Genomic DNA, 20,228 nt, shown 5'->3' on the forward strand with positions numbered 1-20,228 from the left:
GATGGGACTAGAGGATGGATTGAACTTGGGAGGTTGAGGCTGCAGTGAGCTGTGATCATGCCACTGAACTCCAGCCTGGGCAACAGAGCAAGACCCTGTCTCCAAAAACCAAACAAAGAAAAAACAAATGGGGCAGATTTCTATAAACCACTTTGGAGTGATTTTCAGAATTAAATCAAGTGAATCAAATGAAGTGAAGTTAGAAAGAAAAGTACAAATTAGTATCAATACTATCAGGTTTTTCACAAAAGAAAGAAAGAGAAATAAAGGAACATACATGTATCTGTTATTTTCCATATAAACTGGAAACTAATGAGCTTGGTTATGTGGGATAGGGTGCGGAGAGGTACATGGGAATGCGGTGGAAAGAATGATGTGGGAGTGACACTTTTTATGTTTTTGAATAGCTCTTTCAGGACCTTATTAATTTTTCATCTATCCAAAAAATAAATAATTAAAATCAACCAGGCCGGGCACAGTGGCTCACTCCTGTAATCCCAGCACTTTGGGAGGCCGAGGTGGGCGGATCACCTGAGGTCAGGAGTTTGAGACCAGCCTGGCCAACATGGTGAAACCCCGTCTCTACTAAAAATATAAAAAATTAGCCAGGCATGGTGGCACGTGCCTGTAATCCCAGCTACTCAGGAGGCTGAGGCAGGAGAATTGCTTGAACCCGGGAGGTGGAGGTTGTAGTGAGCCAAGATCACACCATTGCACTCCAGCTTGGAGACAGAGCGATACTCCATATCAATCAATCAATAAATAAAATCAACCAGAATTTGGGGCTAACCAAAAATGAACTACAAAGAGTAACAGATGAACCTAACTGTATTATAAATGAATAATATAACCACAGTGGAAGGAGTGGAAAAGGAAAGAACTAACCCAAGTAACTTTGGAAGCAGTATTTTGGCTGTGTACTGTAAGGCTAAAGACAAAAAGTATTGTACAGTAAGCTGTCTCTATCCATGCGTTCTGTATCCATGGCTTCAGCATCTGTGGATTCAACAAACTGCAGATCAGAAATATTTGACAAAAGAAACGCGTCTGTACTGAGTAGCTACAGACTTTTTTTTTTTGTCATTATTCCCTAAACCAGAGGTCCCCAACCTTTCTGGCACCAGGGACCGGTTTCATGGAAGACAGTTTTTCCATGGACCAGGTGGGGGATGGTTTTGAGGTGATTCACACACATTACATTTATTGTGCACTTTATTTTTGTATTATTACATTGTAATATATAATGAAATAATTATACAACTTACCATAATGTAGAATCAGTGGGAGCCCTGAGCTTGTTTTCCTGCAACCAGATGGTCCTATCTCGGGGTAATGGGAGACAGTGACAGATCATCAGTCATTAGATTCTCATAAGGAGGGTGCAACCTAGATTCCTCACATGCACAGTTCACAATAGGGTTCCCATTCCCATGAGAATCTAATCCCACCGCTGATCTGAAGTGAGGCGGAGGTCAGGTGGTAATGTGAGCAATGGGGAGCAGCTGTAAATACAGATGAAGCTTCACTCTGTGGCCCGGTTGCTAACAGGCCATGGACCAGATGCCTGTCCTAAACTATTACAGCTTAATAACTATTTACATAACATTACATTGTATTAGCTATTACAAGTAATCTAGAGATGATTTAAAAGGGTGCTTAGGTTATATGCAAATACTATGCCATTTTATATCAGACAGTTGAGCATATATGGATTTGGTATCCAAAGGAGTTCCTGGAACCAGTCCTCTATGGATAATGAGGGACAACCTTATACAAATACTCTATTGTAGTTAATAAATTTATTTTTCACCAGGTATGAGTTAGCAGTTCTGAAATGATTTTATGTGTATTCAGGGACTGAGCAAATAAATATGTATTATGGATAGTGAGAGTCAGTTTTCTCAGGAGAAAGGAGTTACACAAATAAGGAAAAGTGAAAGGAAAGGATGAACTCTGTGGTGTTGGGTTGGAAGAGATATCAATATAATTTATGGTATAAATTATGTATGTAAATATATATATACACACACAACACACCCCCATATGTATATATATACATTCCATACATTCATATATATGTCAAGATAAGTACATATAGGTATGTATGTATGCATATATAAATTTCCTACTTTATCTACTGAGAGGACCTAGAATATTACCTCGGTAGCAGTGAGCACACCTATCACCCAAATCTTGCTTTCTAAAAACTATTCTCCAATAAAAGGAACCAGAGTTCTTTTAAGAAATAGCTCAGCCTGGGCAACATGGCAAAACCCCATCTCTACAAAAAATACAAAAATTATCCAGGCATGGTGGTGTGCACCTGTAGTTTCAGCTACTCGGGAGGCTGAGTTGGGAGGATTGCTTGAGCCCAGGAGGTTGAGGCTGAGGCTGTAGTGAGCTGTGATTGTGCCACTGCACTCCAGCCTGGGCAACAGAGTGAGACCCTGTCAAAAAAAAAAAAAAAAAAAGGAAGGAAAGGAGGGATGGAGGGAGGAAGAGAATGAGGAATAGCTGATCCAGAGCTGGAGCAGGGAGAGTACTAGATGAGGAGTCTGGAGAATCTTACAGTGTCAGAAAGTAAGTACTCAAAAGAGGAACAGGCCATATGGTTCAGCAGTTCCACTTCTGGGTATATATTGAAAATAATTGAAATCAAGATCTTGGCCCGGTGCGGTGGCTCATGCCTGTAATCTCAGCACTTTGGGAAGCCAAGGCGGGTGGATCACTTAAGGTCATGAGTTTGAGGTCAGCCTGGCCAACATGGTGAAACCCCATCTCTACTAAAAATACAAAAATTAGCCAGGCATAGTGGCGCATGCCTGTAACCCCAGCTACTCGGGAGGCTGAGGCAGGAGAATTGCTCGAACCTGGAGGTAGAGGTTGCAGTGAGCCAAGATCACACCACTGCATTCCAGCCTAGGTGACAGAGTGAGACTCTAGCTCAAAAAAAAAAAAAAAAAAAAAAAAAAAAGATCTTGAAGTGATATTTATATACTTGTATAGCTGCATTATTCACAATATCCAGGAGGTGGAAGCAACTCAAGAGCCCATCAACTAATGAATGGATAAAGAAAATGTGGTGCATATATATATGTGTACACACACACACACACACACACACACACACACACACGGTGGACTATTATTCAGCCTTGAAAAGGAAAGAAATCTTGTCACATGCTACAACATGGATGAACCTTGAGGACATTATGCTAACTGAAATAAGCCAATCACCATAAGACAAATACTGTATGATTCCACTTATATGAAGTATCTAAAGTAGTCAGTTCATAAAGACCAAAAGTAGAATGGTGGTTGCCAAGGGCTAAGTGGAGGGGGAATTTCAGAGTTGCTTACTTGGTACAGTTTCAATTTTGCAGTATGAAAAAGGTCTATAGATTTGTTTCACAACAATGTGAATATACTTAACACTACTGAATTTACACCTAGAACTGGTTAATATGGTAAATTTTTTGTTTCTTTAATCACAATTTTAAAAAAATGACCTAGGCATGTGATAATAATACAGGAATCAATATGAATGAAGGTATCCTAATGGCCAAATCTAGAACAATTTGAGCAGCAAAATAAATAGTAATAATAATAATTTTTTTTTAAGATGGAGTTTCACTCTTGTTGTCCAGGCTGGAGTGCAATGGCACAGTTTTGGCTCACTACAACCTCCGCCTCCCAGGTTCAAGCGATTCTCCTGCCTCAGCCTCCAAAGTAGTTGGGATTACAGGTGCCCACCACCATGCCCAGCTAATTTTTGTATTTTTAGTAGAGACGAGGTTTCACCACGTTGGCCAGGCTGATCTCGAACTCCTGACCTCAAGTGATCCTCCTGCCTTGGCCTTCCAAAGTGCTGGGGTTACAGGCTTGAGCCACCATGCCCGGCCTAAAATAAATAATTACAGTAGCGGATTAATAGCAGAAATAAAAAATAAAGTAAATATCCATGATATACTGATATAAATAAATAAATGGGGGAGAGGGCCAGGCATGGGAGTTCATGCGTGTAATCCCAGCACTTTGGGAGGCTGAGGTGGGAGGATCACTTGAGCCTGGAAGCTTGAGAGCAGCCTGAGCAACATAGTGAGACTCTGTCTCTATAAAAAAAATAATAATAATAATTAGCTGAGCATGGTGGTGCATGCCTGTAGTCCCAGCTACTAAGGAGGCTGAGGCAAGAGGATTGCTTGAGCCCAGGAAGTTAAAGCACAGTGAGCTGTGTTTGTGCCACTGCACTCCAGCCTGGGCAACAGAGTGAGACCCTGTCTCAAAAAATAATAGGTAAATAAATAAATGGGGGAGGAGAGAGCTCTTCCTCACAGTTGGAATTACAATTAATAAATGTAGGAGGAATGGCAGAATTAGAAAATCATCATTTGGGAACCACCATAATAATAATTGTAGCAGGAAAGAAAAATCAATAAATGTTAAATTTGAAATGGATGGGAAAAGTGATGATGAGAAAGAGGATATTTTCATAGTCTCAAAGCATCTTCCCACAAATACTAATTCATTACAAAGGGAAAAAGAGCAACTTTACAGTAGAGAAATGTGGCAGATACTACCTTAACCAAGTGACTGAAGTTAACTTCAATAACGAGATGTATTGGCATCATGTGCCTTTTGGTATGGTTCGCTGAGAAGAGCACAATGTGACTTCTGTGGTTTTCTTGCCAAAATTCCATAACCTGAATTTGATTATGAGAAAACTTCAGATAAACCCAAATTGTGGGACATTGTACAACATAACTGGCCAGCACTCTTCAAAATTGTCAAGGTCATGAAAGACAAAGACTGAGCAGCTGTTCCAGATTGGAGGAGATGGAAGAGACGTGGCAGCCTAGTGCACTGTGAGATCTTGGAAGGGATCCTGGACCAGATAAAGGACATTAGTGGGACAGTTGGTGAAATTTGAACCAAGTCTAGATTAGGTAATGGTATTTTGTCACTGTTAGTGATGGCAGCGGCAGTCCATCTGGAGCAGCTGTTGCCATGATGCCGGCTGCAGTGGGGCAGGTGTGGCCGGGGCGGCACGCTCCACAGAGCTGGTGGGAGCCAGGGACAGGCAGAAGCCTGCCCCCTCTGAGTTGGCAGGGTGGGAGCTTTATGCTCTCTGGGTGCAGCTGCAGCTGTCCAGCTGTAGCTGCAGACCTGGGCATCCCTGTGCTCTTGGGGGCCAGGAGCAGGCAGGAGCCCCACCCTCCTGGGCGCAGCTGCAGTCACCAGAGCCCTAGCTGTGGACCCAGGCATCCCTGTGCTCTTGTGGGCCAGAAGCAGGTAGGAGTCCCGGCCTCCCGGGCACAGCTGCAGCCACCCAAACCATGGCTGTGGACCAGGCATCCCTGTGCTCTTGGGGGCCAGGAGCAGGCAGGAGCCCCAACCCCTCAGGTATAGCTGCAGCTGCAGCTGCCCAAGCCACAGCTGTGGACCCAGGCATCGCTGCACTCTCAGGGGCTAGGCTTGGAAATGCTTGCTCCTGCTGCCTGGCCTCTCCCGACTCCCTGCACCTGCTCCGATCTTGGAGCAAAGTTGAGGCCAAGCCCGGGCACTGCCACAACCTGGCTGGGTGTGCACAGGGTTGGGGCAGCACTGATATGCCAGCCCCCTGCTGCCTTAGCTCCCTCTGGACTTTGGGTGCCGAAAAGCACCAGAGGGAGGCTGAGGGGATGGTGTGGGCAGCTCAGCGCTGGTCTACACGTGCCCCTTGGCACGTGGCAGGAGGCAGACAGGCTCCTGTGTGGAAAGGGGCGGGTTCCCGGTGAAGCCCCACCTTCAAACCAGGGAGGCCTGAAGCCTGGGGGGTCAGGCTGCCAGCCCCGCAGACCGGAGTGGGAATTTATGGTGTTTTTTCCAGGCCTACCCATGGCCACCCATGAACCAATCAGTACACACTTCCTCCCCTTTGAAGCCCATCAAAACCCCAGACTCAACCAGACTTGGAAAATGATGGGACGACCTGCCTGCGGAGAGGAGCTACCCACTCCAGGGTCTCCTCCCTGCTGAATGGTGAGCAGATGATGGGAAAACCAGCCAAGGAGAAGAGCTACCCACTCCAGGGTCTTCACTCTGCTGAGAGCTGAACACTCATCGGGACACCCTGGCTGTGGAGATGAGCTACCCACTGCACGTCTCCTCTGAGCTGTTCTATCGCTCAATAAAGCTCCTCTTCACCTTACCCTCCACTTACCCACATACCTCATTCTTCCTGGATGCAGGGCAGGAACTTGGGACCTGCCAAATGGTGGGGCTGAAAGAGCTGTAACACCAACAGGTCTGAAACATGCCCCTTGCTCACCATGTTGCAGGCAACAAGAAGGAGAGAACAGAGGAGAGAAGAGCTGCAGAGAGAAGAGCTCCCTTTGGGGAGCCCAGACCTAGGAGCTCCCCAAGCCAGGGCTGTGACACCCTCTTTTGGGCTCTGTGGTTCTTGGAGTCTCCAAGCTTCCAGGCGCCACCACATTCCCTGGTGCCAGCTGTGGAAGCTGCTTGCAGTATGCCTGGTCCAGCTGCAGCATCGCAGGGAGCCAGCACCTGTGCCAGTCCCTGGAGCTGCCCACCCCACCACAGTCAGTGTTTCTGGCTGTGCACAGTGGCTGGACCCCATGTTCACTTGATCACACACCCCTTGCCACTCCACTTGCCCTTAGCAGGCACGGGATCCAAGCCGGCAGTGCGAGCTTGCCAGACTGAGTGGGCCCAGTGGGCCCAAGCAAAACTCAGGCAAAGGCACCACTGGCCAGGTTTCCAGCTAGCAAAGTGACACTCAAGGATCCCATAACATTAGCTTCCTGTTTTGATCATTGTACTGTGCTTATGTAAGATGTAAAAATTTGGGCTACCTGGGTAATGGTGAACTCTACCATTTTTGCTGCCTTTTTGCTAAGTCTAAGATTGTTTCAGAATGAAAAATAATACTTAGTGGTTTTGAATGACCTCTTAGTGCAAGTCAGCAGTGTGATCTATTGGCCAAAGAAGGAAGGAAAGAGGAGAAAGAGAAATACAGCATTTTGTTTTTGTTTGTTTTTGAGATGGAGTCTCATTCTGTCGCCCAGGCTGGAGTGCACTGGCGCAATCTCGACTCACTGCAACCTCCACCTCCCAGGCTCAAGTGATTCTCCTGCCTCAGCCTCCCAAGTATCTGGGATTACAAGTGTACACCACCACACCCGGCTAATTTTTGTATTTTTAGTAGAGACAGGGTTTCACCATGTTGGCCAGGCTGGTATTGAACTCCTGACCTCAAGTGATCCGCCCACCTTGGCCTCCCAAAGTACTGGGATTACAGGCATGAGCCACTGTGCCCGGCGAAATACAGCATTTTGAATAAAGAAGCTGTATGTCTTCATTACGTCTAGGGAGCATCAGGTTCTAGGTGTCATGGATTCAGATTTAGAAAAGCAGTAACAATTTTGGCCGGGCGCAGTGGCTCACGCCTGTAATCCCAGCACTTTGGGAGGCCGAGGTGGGTGGTTCACAAAGTCAGGAGTTCGAGACCAGCCTGGCTAACATGGTGAAACCCCATCTCTACTAAAAATACAGAAATTAGGTGGGCATGGTGGCTGGCGCCTGTAATCCCAGCTTCTCGGGAGGCTGAGGCAGGAGAATTGCTTGAACCCGGGAGGCGGAGGTTGCAGTGAGCCGAGATCATGCCACTGCACTCCAGCCTGGGAGACAAGAGTGAAACTCTGTCTTAAAAAAAAAAAAAAAGAAAAGAAAAAGAAAAACAGTAATACTTTTAACTATTTTATGTAAGGAATAGTTAACCTTGGCTCACATCTCTGCATGTTACTAGGAGCACTTGAGGAATACTGATATACCTTGGTCCCACTCTCAGAAATTCTGACTGCTCTATGGTGGGCCTAGACATTAGTATTTTTTGAAAAGCTTTCCAGGTGATTCTGGTTGTTAACCAAGGGGGCTGGGAACCCCTTGGTTAAGGGAACTGGACTGTTTCGCTGGGAAAAGACTCAAATCAGCTTTACAAGAATCATATGGGAAAGCTTGGGAAGATAAATCTTTCTGAGTTCCTACCCTCTGGAGACAACTGGTAGATTTAGGATGACGTCTGCTTATGAAAAACTTCCCTTGTGACCTTGACGTGCAGCCAGGTATGGCAACAGCGGGCTGGGTCAGTGCTTCTCATGCTTTCATGTGCATATGAATCACCAGGAGAGCTTGTTAAGATATAGGCTCTGATTCAGTAGGCTGGGGAGGAGCCCAGGAGTTTGCAGGAGGCTCCCAGGTGTTGCCGATGCTACTGATCTGGGAAGCACACTTTAGTAGACAGCCGCTTAGTATAGTTTATTACACAAGAGATTCATGGATTGGATGTGGTGGAGGGAGTGGTTTGACTCAGGTACATCCTGAAAGTTTTAGGGAAGTCATTTAAGCCTCAGCAGTGCATTTATTTAGGCAGCAGTGTGGTAGAGTGGAAAGAGCATTGGCTTGGGAGTCATATCTGGATTCCATATTCATGATTTACTGTTTGGGTAACCATGAACAAGTTATTTCACCGTTTTGTGTCTCTGTTTTCAATGAGGAAAATAAATACAAAAACATCTCCCTGCCAGATTAGCATTAGATAAAATGTGTTTAAAGAACCTAGCATAGCTCTTGATACAAAGTAGGTGTTCTGAAAAGTGACTATTACTGTTTATGCTGTGGAATCCTCTTTTGTTGGAAGACCAGACTGTGAGTAATGTGCATGAAAAGTACTCAACAGTACTAATCAGTTTTGCATCAGAGACAACTTCTACGGGCAAGAAAAAGCTAAGGTTACTTAAGTAGAAATTATCTTGACCTCAAGAAAAATACTTGTTCTTGTTTGTCCCCCCGCAATTAACTTTTGCAGTCATCTTAGTTATTGGCCTGATAAAATGTGACAAATGATTAACTGATTCAAACAAATATTTGTTGAGCACCTGCTACTCTAAGAGTCAAATAATTCTGAACTATTGTGACTCTCCACATAAAGCATATTTCAGGCCTTAGCTCCTTTGAGCTCACTGTCCTCTTTGCTTCTTTTCCTCCTTCAGGAGACCCTCTGAAGCTTGGGGTTCAGGTTGGGCTAATACTCTGTTAGCACCCTATGTACCCCGTCATAGCTTTGTTTCTACCAGCCTGCAAGCTGGGGCTTGTTGTAGCCTCATAACTGGGTACAGTGCCTCAAATTATTGTTGAACTGATTGTGTGACATAGGAAGCCCTCAGGGAGATCAGAGTCTGTGGTATCTGAGAGGTCAGGGAAAGCTTTCTGAAAAAAGTGATACTTGAGCTGAGACTTAAGAAGAGGCAGGTTGGCCGGGTGCGGTGGCTCATATCTGTAATCCCAGCACTTTGGGAGGCCTAGGTGGGTGGATCACCTGAGGTCAGGAGTTCAAGACCAGCCTGACCAATATGGTGAAACCCCATCTCTATTACAAATACAAAAATTAGCCCGGCGTGGTGGCAGGCACCCGTAGTCCCAGCTACTTGGGAGGCTGAGACGAGAGAATTGCTTGAACCTGGAAGGCGGAGGTTGCAATGAGCTGAGATCATGCCACTGCACTCCAGCCTGGGCGACAGAGCAAGACTCCATCTCCAAGAAAAAAAAAGAGGCAGGAGTTAGAAGGAGGTGGAGCGGCTGGAAAGCATGGTGCATTTGGGGAACTGTACATAATTCAGATGAGCTGAAGCATGGTGGGTATTTGGGGAATGGGGGTGAAGCTGGAGAACAGGTGAAGGCTAGCACGTGACGAGCTTAAATGGCAATTGGATTTTATCTTTGAGGATAATTGGAGACAAGTAACAGATTTTAAGCAGGAATGTGTGGAGGGTGGGTTGAGGATGATAATAGATACAGGGAAATTGGTTAGGAGTTTTATATAAAAGCCAGGTAATCAGATCCCACCAGTCACCTTAGTGTTCTTTCTGGGCTTAACTGCTTTCCCTCAGACCAGAGTGGTTCACTCTAGAGGTGCCCTTTGCCTGGTCTGCTTCTGACTGCACAATGGGAGCAGACCTTGGAGCATCACAGATCTCATCTGGTCCCTGGTGATGGGTGTCTGGCCCACGTGAGGCAGAAGGTGCAGCCATTTCTGTTCTGTGGAGTAAGTTGGATAGCAAGAGACCCTTGGTAAATGCATGGACAACATTACTGGGTTTTAATACCATGTCTGCTATGTCCTAGCTATGGGGACATTAGAGAAGTTACATAACCTCTCTGAACCTCATCCATAAAATGGAGATAATGCTAACTCTAGTGTTTTTCTGAGAATTGAATTGGATGACGATGACAAAAATAATGTCATTTAGTACATTTAGTAAGCGTCAATTTTATGTCAGGCCCTGGCCCAGGTACCTTCACTAATTAAAACATGGGTCAAACACCAAAAATTGGTTTAGTTCATGATAGGTGCTCAATAAATATTAGATTCCTCCTCCCACCTCCTCCTGATCGTTGCACTTCCTACAGTTTGTCAGTGGCTGATGGATTGTTGTCTTAGCACTGTCTTCCAAACGATGTTATTTATTCTCACAAATTGACAAAGAGAGAAAATAATGACGATTTAATTTATGTTCAGGAAGCAGCCAGTGAGTAATTTCCAACATTGTTTCATTAAGGAAGTACTTGGGGCTTAGGAATCAACTGTATTTTAACCAAATTATAAATTAATACAATTAGCCCTTGAACTTAAATTTTAGGCTCAGGGTCCTGGGCTGCAAAGAAACCAGTCAGAGCTGCTACTTGGAGAGTGACATTGTTTGTGTGATATTTTGATATTAGTGCCCATCTTTTGACCAAATAATCAGCATAAACATCTGAATACCAGTTCTGTTTAATGGACAAAATGTAATATGTAAGGTTTCCAAGGGTTGGAATGAGTTGTATGTCCCTACGTAGATGCCTGACCAGTTTCTGATAATACTGGGCCCTAGCTTTGTCTAAAAGTAAATGAAAATGCCTCTTAGTCTTCAGTAACATTGCTCACTATAGCCTTTCTTTTTCCTTCTTTGTGTAGATTTTCGGTAACCAGATCCTCTTTGACAATATAAAGCATGGATTAAAACTAACTCTGTAGCAATCCTAGGATTATTGGCTCAGGAGAATAAATCTTGGGTTGACTGTGAGATGATTTCACTTAAGTCTCATTTTGAAGAAAGCAGCTATGGGAGAGGCAGCTCTGAGCATGGTTTATTGTTTATTCCTGGTTGCCCAAGAGCAATTCGTATGAGTATCAGAGTCTGTTATGCATATGGCACGAGTAATTGTTTCTGAGAAGTGCGGTGGGTTGCTGGCAGTCGTGAATAGACCTGAAAACTGGCTGTGGTTCTGGGCCAAGCCCTCATCCCTGGTCAACAGAGAAAAACTTGAGGAAAGCAAGAGTCATAGTCATTGAAAGACTCATCTGCTTATGTGTGTCTACAGTGCCACCCAAGTCCGAGGTTAGCTTATCACTGGAGATTAGCATAAAACTAGAGAATTTGTGAACATGCTGTGTGTCTGACCATGATATAATCTTTCTTCTCTCTTTCCTCAAAAATTTCTCCTGCTTCTGGATATGGGTTGTTTATTATACCCCAGTCACAAACGCTTCCTCAGAGGGTATGAGGTAAGGGTTGAGATTAATATGCTCTCTTTCCCTTACTTATATCTTTTATTTTCCAGCAACAGCTGCAGGCCTATGTGGCCTGGGTGAATGCACAGCTGAAGAAGAGGCCAGCAGTGAAGCCTGTGCAGGACCTGCGACAAGATCTCCGGGATGGGGTGATCCTGGCATATCTCATCGAGATTGTTGGTCAGTTGGCCCTGGACTCTGATACTAGAGTACATAGATCAGAATCTGGCCTTCTTTATCCTTCTTATGCCCTTTAGAGCAGGTTATTTTTTCTTTAGAATATATGGCAGTAGAGGTAGAGAAGACTTAAAATACTTGCCCAAGGTTAATTCATTTATTTATTCGTCAATAAACATTGTGTCCCGGGCACTGTATTATGCTTTGGGAATATGAGGATGAGAATAGTCCATGCTCTCAAGAGTCTACCAAACTAGTTGGAAAGGCTGGAAAGTGAAGTCAATTCCATTAATGTACTTAGTACTCCAGTGGGGTAAGCACAGATGGGAGCACATAGGAGGGACACCCAGCCCAGTCTTAGGGGCTCAGGGATTGGCTTACCAGAACTGATATCTCAACTGAGGCCTACCAGAAGAATTGGTATCTAAACCAAGGCCAGAGAAGGAAGTAGTAGTCAGGCAAAAAGAGGGATGTTACTGGCAAAAGGACCCTTCTACCATAATACTTCATAAAATTTTTTTCCTCTTGAACCCTGGGGTTGTTGACAGTCATTCTTACTAGATGGTACCATAACCTTATTTCCATAGCATTTGTCCATATTTCTATTATTATTTCTCTCATCGAATGATAATTATGTGGTAATCATTTGATTACCTATCCTGTGTGATCTGAGCTGTTTAAGAGCAGGCATAGTATAATGTTTTTCTGTTTATGCAAGCTCTAGCCAAATGCACATAATAGGTTCTCAAACATTTATTGTTACATTAGTTAGCTGATTTTGCTTTGAGTTCTTGAGGGATATAGGACCTGCAAGTGGTACGGAAGAAGCCAGGTTTGCAACAAGCAGCCCATCCGTGAATACCTCATAGGGACAGTTTATGAATTCATCAGAGTATTCATCTGTAATGATGGTAATAATGGCAACGGTAATAGCAACTGCTAGGATTGAACACTTTCTATCTTGTTTAATTTCATTTAATCATCATATCTTTGGGAAACATAATATTATCCCCACTTTTAGGAAACAAGCTTAAAAGAGAAGATTTATAAAAATAAATAGTACTTAGTATGAGTCAAACAAAATAGCTAAGCATGCTATTTTGATTTATTTATGATAGGTGTATAATATGACTAGTACTATTGTATTCATTTTATGAGGCTTAGAGAGGCTAAGCAACTTTACAAAGTCACATAACTATAAGTGCCAAAACAGAGGTACAAACCTAGATCTGCTTTAATTCCAAAGCCTGTTTTAAACATTTAATGTTTCATTTATTTGAATAGGTTATACATGGACTAGTAGGAAATCCAGATGTACAAAAGGATGTAAGATCAAACCTCCTTTTTCCACTTATGTTCCCCCACCAGCTACCCATTTTTCCTTCTAGAGGCAGCTAGTGTTAGCAGTTTCTTGCATTTCTTCCCAGAGAAACTTCCCATTCTATGTCTATACAAGTAATATGAATATGTATTCTTATTTTTCCAAAACCTAGGCCCTTTTTTTCCCATTCCCTCCCCTGCAAAACCCGGGGTTTTTTTTTTTTTTTTTTTCCTTTTTTTTTTTTTGAAACGGAGTTTTGCTCTGTTGCCAGGCTGGAGTGCAATGGCATAATCTCGGCTCACTGCAGCCTCCACCTTCTGGGTTCAAGCAATTCTCCTGCTTCAGCCTCCCAAGTAACTGGGACTACATGCGTGCACCACCACGCCAAGCTAATTTTTGTATTTTTTTTTTTTTTTTTTTTTTTTGAGACGGAGTCTCGCTCTGTGGCCCAGGCGGGAGTGCAGTGGCGCAATCTCGGCTCACTGCAAGCTCCGCCTCCCGGGTTCACGCCATTCTCCTGCCTCAGCCTCCTGAGTAGCTGGGACTACAGGCGCCCGCCACCGCGCCCGGCTAATTTTTTGTATTTTTAGTAGAGACGGGGTTTCACCTTGTTGGCCAGGATGGTCTCGATCTCTTGACCTCGTGATCTGCCTGCCTCGGCCTCCCACAGTGCTGGGATTACAGGCGTGAGCCACCGCGTCCAGCCAAAACCCAGGTTCTTAAACACAACTTTCTATTGTGACTTTGCTAGATAGAAAAGCTCCTCACAAGATTTTGCCTATATTCACTGGATCCACTTCCTTATTTCCTATGCTTTCTTTAATCTGCCCTTATCAGGCTTCTGATCCCACTCCACTGAAACCGCCTTCCTCAAGGTCATATCAAATCCAGTGGCCAAGCCTCCACCTTATCAAATCCAGTGGCCAGGCCTCAGACCTCATTTTATTCAACATAGCAGTACTTGACATAGTTGATAACGCCCTTCTCTTCAAACACTTTCTTTACTTGGCTTCCAGAATCCTATTAACTTCTAGTTTTCTTCCTTCCTCTCAGGCTCCTTTCATTTTTTTGTTGGCTTTTCATTTCCTTCCTGACCTCTAATCCCGGAGTGCTGCAGGTTCAGCCCTCTTATATATTCTCTACTCCTAAGTGATTTCTTCCCAAATTTGTATCTTTAGGCTTGAATTTTTCCTTGAGTTCTAGACATGAATATCCAACATCTCTACTTGGATGTCTAATATGCAACTCAAATTTCACACATCCTAATCAGAAATTTGGATGTCCTTCCCCCTACCAATCCCTTTATTCTCCAAGTTTCTTCATCAGAGTAACACACTGCATTATCATTTGCCTAGGTGTTAAAGCAGAACAGTTAGAAGGTGTCCTTAATTGTCCTTTTTGTCATATATTATATCGAATCCTTCATATGTGCCATCTGCTTTGTATTTACAATATACCTGATATCTAACTTCTCATCAGTCAGCCTCTTCCACTCTAGCCCAAACCATCATGTCCTGCCTTGACTATTTTCATCATGCTTCAGACTGATCTCCCTGTTTCCTCTCTCCATAGTCTATTTCCACGCAGAGTCCATTTTATTTATTTTATTATTTTTGTAGAGACGGGGTTTTCACCATCTTGCCCAGGCTAGTCTTGAACTCCTGGGCTCAGACAATTCCCCTGCCTTGGCTTCCCAAAGTGCTAGGATTACGGGCGCGGGCGTAAGCCATGGCACCCTGCCAGTCAACTTTTAAAAACATAAACCAGATTATGTCACTCCCTTGTCTCAGACTCTCCATTGGCTGCTCATTACACTTAGGATAAAATTCAGGCCCTTTGCTGTGGTCCAGAAAGCCCCGCCTGCCCTGGCATTGCTTGCCTGTCTAGCCTTTCCTAGGACTTGACTCCTTGCTCACTCCCCCAGCCACACTGCTCTTGCTGTTCTTCAGGTAAGCGGAGCTTGGGGTTTGTCCCTGTGGTTCCTCAGTCTGGAATGCTTCCTCCTCAAATCTTAACATGCTTTACTTTATTCAAGGTGCTGCCAAATGTTATTATCAGAGAGACCATGATCACTGTACTTTATTTTTCCTCAAGCACTTATCGCTACTATGAAATTATATTAAACACTTACTTGTTAACTTGATTGTTGTCTGCCACTCCTGCAGATATAAATTCTATGAAGGGAGGGACTTTATTGTTCTTTTTCTCTCCTTTTTCTCTGGTGCCCAGAATAGTGAGTACTTGCCACTCAATAGATGCTGAGTGAATATTTGCTGACTGAATAAATGTACACACAGTAACTTCACAGACCCCTAAGTATAAATTTGAAAGCCTTCCAAAAGGCTTTCATATTCCTATTTCCCATCTAAATGACAAACACCAGGACTTAACTCATTTATATATTTATGTATAATGTTGGTGTTCACATCAAATCTTCCCTTCCTCTGTGTCTAGCTGCTATGAAACTTTGATAATATTCCTCCCTATAACTTCCTATATTTTCTCTCTCCTAACAGCAGGAGAAAAGCTGAGTGGGGTACAGCTGAGTCCCGGTAACCAACAGGAGATGAAGAATAATGTGGAGAAAGTGCTACAGTTTGTGGCCTCTAAAAAGATTCGTATGCACCAGACTTCGGCTAAAGGTCAGTGCCTCATCACATCCTTGGTGCATGAGTATACTTTAACCAGTGAGTGCTAGCCTCAGGAAAATCCTTGGCTGTAACCTGGGGGAAGATAGAAAGTCTCCATTCATTTTATTTTATTTTTTATTTTTTATTTCATGATTATTATTTTTTGCGACGGAGTTTCACTCTTCTTGCCCAGGCTGGAGTGCAATGGCACAATCTTGGTTCACTGCAACCTTTGCCTCCCTGGTTCAAGTGATTCTCCTGCCTCAGCCTCCCAAGTAGCTGGGATTACAGGCATGTGCCACCATGCCTGGCTAATTTTGTATTTTTAGTAGATATGGGGTCTCACTGTGTTGGTCAAGCTGGTCTCGAAATCCTGACCTCAAGTGATCTACCCGCCTCGCCTTGGCCTCCCAAAGTGCTGGGATTACAGGCGTGAGCCATTGTGCCCGGGCATTCATTTTAATTGAATACAGATTTGCTTGAGTGTATGTAGGAAAATTAGTGGTTAGAGAAGAAATTATGGTTGGGCATGGTGGCTCATACCTGTAATCCCAGCACTGGGAGGCCAAGGCGGGAGGATCACTTGAGCCCAGGAGTTTGAGACTATCCTGGGCAACATAGTTAGGCTCTGTCTCCATTTTTTAAAAAAGAGAGAAGAAATTACAATATTGGGATATTAATTTTAGAATTTCTCATTTAAGTTATCAAAAATGAAGAGTTTATGTTTTTTAAGTTCCTTGGGTTTCATGACAAAATATTATTTAAGATACTCATAACCTACATTTTTTCCATCTAGTTTTTTAGAAGGGAAATATTTTATAGCCCTTTTTTGGATATCATAGAACATTCTAGGCAGGATGAAAGCAGCTCTGTGACCTCTGCATCTGCCCTCTTCTGTAGTGGCTTGGCCCAGATGGGTTTGCTGGGCTATTTTGAGCCCAGGCTTCAAGGGAGGAACAGTGTAGGTGTTCTTAGAGAGCATAGGCTCCCTAGTTCTCTTGCTGTTTCTCGAGAACTGACTATAGACCTGGTTTTGTTTCAGCGTCAGTTCCTGGGTCTGATTGCCTTTGGGTCTCATGACAATAGGGGCAGAACGGCTCATGTTGGATTATTATATTAGTGTTCTCTGTGTTTAGATCATTTAGATGAGGCCAATACTGATCATTGAGAGCACCTTGTGGAAGGTATCAAAGAATCCTTCACCACTCCTTCTCAACATAGTACTGGCAGTCCTAGCCAGAGCAATCAGGCAAGAGAAAGAAATAAAAGGCATCCAAATAGGAGAAGAAAAAGTTAAACTATCTCTCTTCACTGATGATATGATTCTATACCTAGAAAACCCCAAAAGCCTCTGTCAAAAGGCTCCTAGAACTAATAAATGACTTGAGTAAAGTTTCAGGATATAAAATCAGTGTGCAAAAATCAGTAGCATTTGTTTTACTTTTTTGAGATAGAGTTTTGCTTTGTCACCCAGACTGGAGTTCAGTGTCGTGATCTCACCTCACTGCAACGTCCGCCTCCTAGGTTCAGCTGATTCTCCTGCCTCAGCCTCCTGAGTAGCTGGAACTACAGGCATGCGCCACCATGCCTGGCTTATTTTTGTATTTTTGTAGAGACGGGATTTCATCATGTTGGCCAGCGTGGTCTCGAACTCCTGACCTCAAGTGATCCACCTGCCTCAGCCTCCCAAAGTGCTGGGATTATAGGCATGAGCCACTGCACCTGGCCAAATCAGTTGCATTTCTATACACCAATAACATTCTAGCTGAGAGACACATTATGAACACAATCCCACAAACAATCCCACTTACAATGACCACACACAAAAAAGAAATATCTAGGAATACATCTAACCAAAGAGGTAAAAGAAATTCAAAATACAAAAATTAGCTGGGTGTGGTGGTGCATGCCTGTAGTCCCAGCTACTCAGGAGGCTGAGACAGGAGAATAGCTTGAAAGCAGGAGGCCGAGGTTCCAGTGAGCCAAGATTGCGCCACTACACTCCAGCCTGGGCAACAGAGCGAAACTCTATCTCAAAAAAAAAAAAAAAAGAACAAAGCTACAAAGCTGGGGTGTCACATTACCTGACTTCAAACTATACTACAAGACTACAGTAACCAAAACAACATGGTACTGGTATAAAAACAGACACATAGACCAATGGAACAGACTAGAGAACCCAGAAATAAAGTTCCACACCTACAACCATGTGATCTTTGACAAACTCAACAAAAATAAGCAATGAGGAAAAGAATCCCTATTCAATAAATGGTGCTGGGATAACTGGCCAGCCATATGCAGAAGAATGAAACTAGATCCCTGTCTATCACCTTTTGCAAAAATTAACTCAAGATGGAATAAAGACTTAAATATAAGACCTTGAACTATAAAAATCCTAGAAGAAAACCTAGGAAATAACCCTACTTGATATTGGCATTGGCAAAGAATTTATTACTAAATCCTCAAAGCAATTGCAACATAAACAAAAATTGATAATTGGAATCTAATTAAACTAAAGAGCCTCTGCATAGCAAGAGAAACTATCAGGGGAGTAAGCAGATAGCCTATAGAATGGGAGGAAATATTCACAAACTATGAATCTGACAAAGGTCTAATATCTAGAATCTATAGGGAACTTAAATAACAAGCAAAAACAAATAACCCTATTGAAAAGTGGGCAAAGGACATGTACAGATACTTCTCAAAAGTGGCCAACAAACATATGAAGAAAAGCTCATCAACACTAATCAGATAAATGCAAATCAAAACCACAATGAGATACTATCTCACACCAGTCAGGATGGCTTTTGTTAAAAAGTCAAAAAATAACAGATGTTGGCAAGGCTGTGGAGAAAAGGGGACACATATATTGTTGGTGGGAATGTAACTTTGTCCAGCCACTGTGGAAAGTAGTTTGGAGATTTCTCTAAGAACTACAGCAATCCCATTACTGGGTATATACCCAAAGGAAAATAAATCATTCTACCAAAAGGACACATGCACCCGTAGGTTCATTGCAGCGCCATTCACAATAGCAAAAACATGGAATCAACCTAGGTGCCCATCAACAGTGCAGTGAATAAATAAAATGTGGTGTGTATATCTATATCTATATCTATATCTATATCTATATCTATATACACCATAGGATACTATGCAGCTATAAAAAAAAAATTCATGTCCTTTGCTGCAACATGGATGCAGCTGGAGACCATTATCCTAAGCAAACTAATGCAGAACCAGCAAATCAAACACCATTATGTTCTTACTTATAATTGGGAACTAAACACTGGGTGCACATTGGGACATAAAGATGGGAACAATAGAAACTGGGGACTACTAGAGGAGGGAGGGAAGGAGGGAGGAAGGGCTGCAAACTACCTGTTGGGTACTGTGCTCACTATCCGGATGATGAGTTCAATCGTACCCTAGACCTCAGCATCACACAATATACCTTTGTAACAAACCTGCATGTGTACCACCTGCTTCTAAAACAAAAGGTGAAAAAGAAAAAAAACAAACACAAATAATCCTTTTCCAAGACTTGTATATTTAAAGGCTACAAAGCTAAAAAATAAAATAAAAATTTACCCATTTCGTTACATTGACTTTCACCAGACTTACCACACTGTTTTCTGCCTACATTCCTCTTTTATTTCTAGGGCAAAATTTAGAGTTCCACGATACCTCTGATCTGGTTCCCATGTGGAGTGGGCTTGGGGATCTGGCCCATTAAAGTCAGCTATTTTGAGGGAACACTGCCATTTAGGACATCATTGTCATTTACCTGGAGAAGTGTAACAGTCTGAGTTAGTCCTGCGGCATTGATTTTTGTCCCCTTCTCATCTGCTCTCCACACTGCAGTCAGAATGATCTTTCTAAGAGTACATATACTCATGCCACTCCTCCGTATCTGAGGACCCTTAGGATAAAATCCAGAGTCCTTCCTGTGGCCTCCCATGCCCTGTGTGATCCACCCTCTGATGCACCCCTCTGCTGCCTCACCTTTCCCTGTCTCCCCCTGCATTCTGGGCTCTGCCTATGCTGAACTTCTTTCACTTCCTCCACCACAGTGCTGTGTCACAGAAATAGAATGCAACTCACATAGGTAACTTAACCACATAGGTTTCTAATAGCAGGCCGGGTGCAGTGGCTCACACCTGTAATCCCAGCACTTTGGGAGGCTAGGCCTCCCTGATCACACTCCTGGTCACTTGAGGTCAGGAGTTCAAGACCAGCGTGGCCAACATGGTGAAACCCCATCTCTACTAAAAATACAAACATTAGCTGGGCGTGGTGGTGGGCACCTGTAATCCCAGCTACTCAGGAGGCTGAGGCAGGAGAATCGCTTGAACCCAGGAGGCAGAGGTTGCAGTGAGCCAAGATCGTGCCATTGCATTCCAGCCTGGGGGAAAAAAAAAAAGAGTTTCTAATAGCCACATCATAAAAAAAGAAACAGGTGAGCCGGGCGCAGTGGCTCACGCCTGTA

General features: G+C 43.5%; 1 protein-coding gene across 6 annotated transcripts in view, besides 1 other annotated feature; it reads left to right on the top strand.

Annotated features, from left to right (window-relative positions):
* DIXDC1 (DIX domain containing 1) overlaps positions 1–20,228 on the top strand; it is a 95,339-nt gene that overhangs the window by 25,573 nt on the left and 49,538 nt on the right. For all 6 annotated transcript variants that reach the window (XM_017018466.3, XM_024448743.2, XM_017018467.2 and 3 more), the window contains 2 exons: positions 11,662–11,791; positions 15,626–15,751. In XM_017018466.3, the coding sequence (XP_016873955.1) occupies positions 11,662–11,791; positions 15,626–15,751 (256 nt within the window). The remainder of the gene's footprint in view (positions 1–11,661; positions 11,792–15,625; positions 15,752–20,228) is intronic.
* Positions 19,659–19,718: an enhancer, noted in NCBI's record as "active region_5523". NCBI's record gives its function as "activates an Ori minimal core promoter by ATAC-STARR-seq in GM12878 lymphoblastoid cells {active_cell/tissue: GM12878}" and the evidence as "EXISTENCE:reporter gene assay evidence [ECO:0000049][PMID:35858748]".

Source organism: Homo sapiens, chromosome 11 (assembly GCF_000001405.40).
Source record: "Homo sapiens chromosome 11, GRCh38.p14 Primary Assembly".
Classification (NCBI taxonomy): domain Eukaryota; kingdom Metazoa; phylum Chordata; class Mammalia; order Primates; family Hominidae; genus Homo; species Homo sapiens.